The 4,976-nt window shown below is 38.4% G+C and overlaps 1 annotated feature.

Moving 5' to 3' along the window:
* Positions 320–1,008: an enhancer, noted in NCBI's record as "NANOG-H3K27ac hESC enhancer chr2:126816617-126817305 (GRCh37/hg19 assembly coordinates)". NCBI's record gives its function as "activates a minimal SCP1, AML or CMV promoter by ChIP-STARR-seq in primed H9 embryonic stem cells {active_cell/tissue: H9 hESC(primed)}" and the evidence as "EXISTENCE:reporter gene assay evidence [ECO:0000049][PMID:30033119]".

Raw genomic sequence — 4,976 nt, 5'->3', positions numbered from 1 at the left:
CTCCTAGAGACAGCCACAAAATCGTTGAGTGTCCAAAGTGTGAGAGGGGGAAAGTCTGCCCCAAACACACATCTTCGCAGGGGAGCCTGAAAATCCAGATCATGGGAGAAGGATTTAACCTTACCTAGAGCTGAAACAAATTTAGAGAGCCAAGCAAAATATAAAAGAAGAAGCAGCAGCAAGAAGAGCCTTGAGGCACTCCCAGTTCCAAGGAAGCCCAGGGAAACAATTTCTGACTGAAGGAAACTTCTAGCTGAACTTCGTAATAATTTCAACTAAGCACGCATTTTCCAGGGTAGAATCTTGGGGTGGGAGGTGAACAGGAAGTGCAGATAGAAGGACAGAAACTGTGGTGAGGAGGGGCAAAGTCTGAAAGCCCTGATTGTTTTCTCAGCAGGGAGGCCTGGAGCCTGGAGCAAGTTCCCAGCTCTGCTCACTGGCTGCCTGGATATAAACTTGTTGCTGCTGGGGGAGCACAGAGAAACAGAACTGAGACTGGCTTTTCTGGCTGCCTGGGAGCTTGGTGAGGCCTGTCTCTGCTGGCTTTCCCTCATTTCCCTGGTAATCTGTGTGACACAGCAGAGGTAGCCATAATCCCCCAGGGAACATAACTTTATCGGCCTGAGAACCACACCTCCATTCCCCACAGTGGCTGCAGCAAGGCCTACCCAAGGAGTCTGAGCTCAGACACGCCTAACTCCTCCCCCAACTGATGGTCTTTCTCTACCCATCCTAGTAGTCCAAGACAAAGGACACAATCTCTTGGGAGCTCTATGACCCAGCCCACTGCCTGGGAAATTTATTTAGGAAATTTATTAGGGCAAGCTTGTATCCTCCCTGTACTAACACAGCTGATGCTCTCTTGAAAGATACACCTCCTCTAGTAACACAACTCATAAAAGAACAACCCAGCCACAAGAAAGGAGAAAACAACAGCTAACTCCACCACTTGTAACATCCTGGCTAACCTGAGTTTGTCCACATTGTAACTTAATGCCAACAGCACAACCACCATTCGAGAATACCTGTGCAGTAAACAAAACTACAATTGAGGTCCAACACAGAGTTCACCTCACCTCCCTGCTACCACCAGCAGAGCAGAAGCTGGTATCCATGGCTGAGAGATCTGAAGATGGATTACATCACAGGACTCTTGCAGACACTCTTCAGTACCAGCCTGGAGCCCAGTAACTCCACTGGGTGGTTATGCACAAAAGAGAAATAACAATCACTGCAGTCCAGCTCCCAGGAAGCCCCATCCCTAGGGGAAAGGGGAGTGCACCACATCAAGGGAAAATCACATGAGACAAAAGAATCTGAACAGCAGCCCCTGAGCCTGAGAACCTTCCTCTGACATAGTCCACACAAATGAGAAGGAACCAGAAAAACATTTCTGGTAATATGACAAAACAAGTTTTGTAACACTGCAAAACATCACACTAACTCACCAGCCATGGATCCAAATCAAGAAGTAATTTCTGAATTGCCAGAAAAAGAATTCAAAAGTTCCATTATTAAGCTACTCAGGGAGGCAACAGAGAAAGGTGAATACCATTTAAAGAGATGTAAAAAAGTTACAGGATATGGACAGTAAAATCTCCCAAGAAATACATAGCATAAATAAAAAACAATCACAACTTCTGGAAATAAAGAGCACACTTAGAGAAATGCAAAATACACTGGAGAGTCTAAACAATAGAACTGCATAAGTAAAACAAACAAACAAACAAGCAAACAAACAAACAAAAAAATCAGAGCCCAAAGAAAAGACTCTTGAATTAACTCAATCAAACAATGACAAAGAAAAAAAATTCAAGCAATATAAACAAAGCCTCCAAGAAGTTTGGGATTATGTTAAATGACCAAACCTAAGAATAATTGTTCTCGAGGAATAAGAGAAATCTAAAAGTTTGGAAAACATGTTTGAGGTAATAATTGAGGAAAACTTCGTTAGCCTTGCTAGAGATCTGGACATCCAAATACAAGAAGCTCAAAGAACACCCAGGAAATTCATTGCAAAAAGGTTATTACCTGGGCACATAGTCATCAGGTTATCTAAATTCAAAACAAAGGAAAGAAAAGAACTGTGAGGCAAAAGCATCAGGTAATCTATAAAGGAAAACCTATTAGATTAACAGCAGATTTCTCAACAGAAACCTAACAAGCTAGAATGAATTGGAGTCCTATTTTTAGCCTCCTTAAGCAAAACAATTATCAGTCAAGAATTTTGTATTCAGTGAACCAAGTTTCATAAATGAAGGAAAGATACAGTCTTTCTCAGACAAACAAATGTTGTGAGAATGAGCCACTACAAAGTCAGCACTATGAAAACTGTTAAACAGAGCTCTAAGTCTTGAAACAACCTCAAAATACACCAAAATAGAACCTGTTTACAGCATAAATCTCACAGGATCTATAAAATAATAACACAACTAAAAAAAATCCAAGGTATTCAGGCAACACCTAGCATGATTAATAGAATAGTACCTCACACCTTAATACTAATGCTAAATGTAAATAACCTAAATGCTCCACTTAAAACATATAGAATGACAGAATGGATAAGAACTCACTAACCAAGTATCTGCTGTCTTCGAGAGACTCACCTAACAAATTACGACTCACATGAACTTAGGGTAAAGGGGTGGAAAAAGATATTCTGTGCAAATGGACACCAAATCAAGCAGGAGTAGCTATTCTTACATTGGACAAAACAGACCTTAAAGCAAAAACAGTTAAATACAAAGTAGGACATTATATAATGATAAAAGGATGAGTACAAAAGGAAAATATCACAATCCTAAATGTATATGCATCTATCACTGGAGCTCCCAAATTTATAAAGCAATTACTACTAGACCTAAGAAATGAGATAGGTGGCAAGACAGTAATAATGGGGGGACTTCCATACTCCACAGACAGCAGTAGACAGGTCATCAAGACAAAGTCGACAAGAAAACAATGGGCTTAAACTGTAACCTACAACAAATTGAAGCAGCTACATTGTCTGGGGTATAAACCTGGGGTTTGTCATCTCATGCCAGGAAAATGCAGGACATGGACACACATGAGGAGTTTAGGTAGCAGAGGTTTAAAAGGCAGAACAAAGAGAAAGAAAAACAGTTCTCTTTCTATTGAGAGAGAGGGGACTTGCCAGAGGAAAAGACCTGTGGGCAGTGGACGTGCTGGATTTTATAGTCACGTTTGAGAAGGCAGTGTCTGATTTACATACGGCTCACAAATTGGTTCAAATAGGTATGACATTTGCATAGCATGTGGGAAAGGATGTCCACTCCACCCCTATCTTATTATGCCAATGAATTATCCAGTTGACCAAGGCCATCTTGTCTGCTCCTTACTGTATACATGGCTGATAAATAGAAGGGAAGATGGGGCTGCCATTTTAAACTTGATTGGCACAACTGCCAGCATCTATGTCTGCAGCTTGATTTAACAGGCTGTTCTTTGTTAGAAAGGAAAATGATTTGGGGCTGATTTTCATTAAAAGGAAAACCTTATTGAGGACTTTCATACTCTATCTGCCTAATTCTTCTTAACTCCTGTATCAAAATGGACTTAACAGATATTTACAGAACATTCTACCCAACAAGCAGAATGTACCTTCTATTTATCATTACATGGAATATTCTCCAATATAGACCATATAATAGGCCACAAAACAATTCTTGATAAATTTAAGATAATCAAAATTATATCAAGTACTCTCAGACCACAGTGGAATAACATTGGAAATCAATTCCAAAAGGAACCCTTACAAACCTGCAAATACATGAAAATTAAATAACCTGTTCCTGTATGATCAATGGATTAATAATGAAATCAAAATGGAAATTAAAAATGTATTTGAACTGAACAATAATAGTGACACAACCAATAAAAACCTCTGAAATACAGCAAAGTCAGTGCAAAGAGAAAAGTTCATAGCCTTAAATGCCTACATCAAAAAGTCTGAAAGAACACAAATAGGCAATCTAAGGTCACATTTCAAGGAACCAGAGAAACAAGAACAAACCAAACCCAAACCCAGAAGTAGAGAAATAACAAAGATCAGAACATAACTAAATGAAATTAAATAACAAAAAATACAAAAGATAAATGAAACTAAAAGCTGGTTCTTTGAAAAGGTAAATAAAAGTGATAGATTAACCAATAAGAGAGAAAATCCAAATCAGCTCAATTAGATATGAAATGGGAGATATTTCAACTGATACCACAGAAATACAGATCATTCAAGGCTGCTAGGAACACCTTTATATACACAAACTGGAAAAACTAGAAGAGATGGATAAATTCCTGAAACACAACCCTCCTAGATTAAACCAGGAAGAAAGGAAGGAACAAAAACTTTGAACAGACCAATAACAAGCAGCAAGATTGAAATGGTAATTTAAAAAAAAAAAAAAACTGCCAACAACAACAAAAAAGTTCAGGACCAGTTGGATTCACAGCTGAATTCTATCAAACATTGTACTAATCCTGTTGACACTATTACAAAATATAGAGAAAGGGAATCATCCCTAAATCATTCTACGAAGCCAGTTTCACCTTAATACCAAAACCAGGAAAGAATGTAACAACAACAACAAAATACAGACCAATATTCTTGATGAACATAGATGCAAAAATTCTCAACAAAATATTAGTTAACCAAATATAACAGCATATCAAAAAGATAATCCACTATGATCAAGTGGGTTTCATGCCATGAATGCAGGGATGGTTTAACATATGCAAATCAACAAATGTCATATGCCACATAAACAGAATTAAAAACAAAAACCACATGATTATCTCAATAGGTACAGAAAAAGCATTTGACAAAATTCAGCTTCCCTTTATGATTAAAACCATCAGCAAAATCAGCATAGAAGGGACATCCCCTAAGGCAATAAAAGCCGTCTATGACAAACTCACAGCCAACATTATACTGAATGGGGAAAAGTTGAAAGCATTCC

This window comes from Homo sapiens, chromosome 2 (assembly GCF_000001405.40).
Source record: "Homo sapiens chromosome 2, GRCh38.p14 Primary Assembly".
Lineage (NCBI taxonomy): Eukaryota > Metazoa > Chordata > Mammalia > Primates > Hominidae > Homo > Homo sapiens.
Note: the sequence above shows the minus strand (reverse complement) of the source record. Positions and strands in the feature narration are given on the sequence as shown.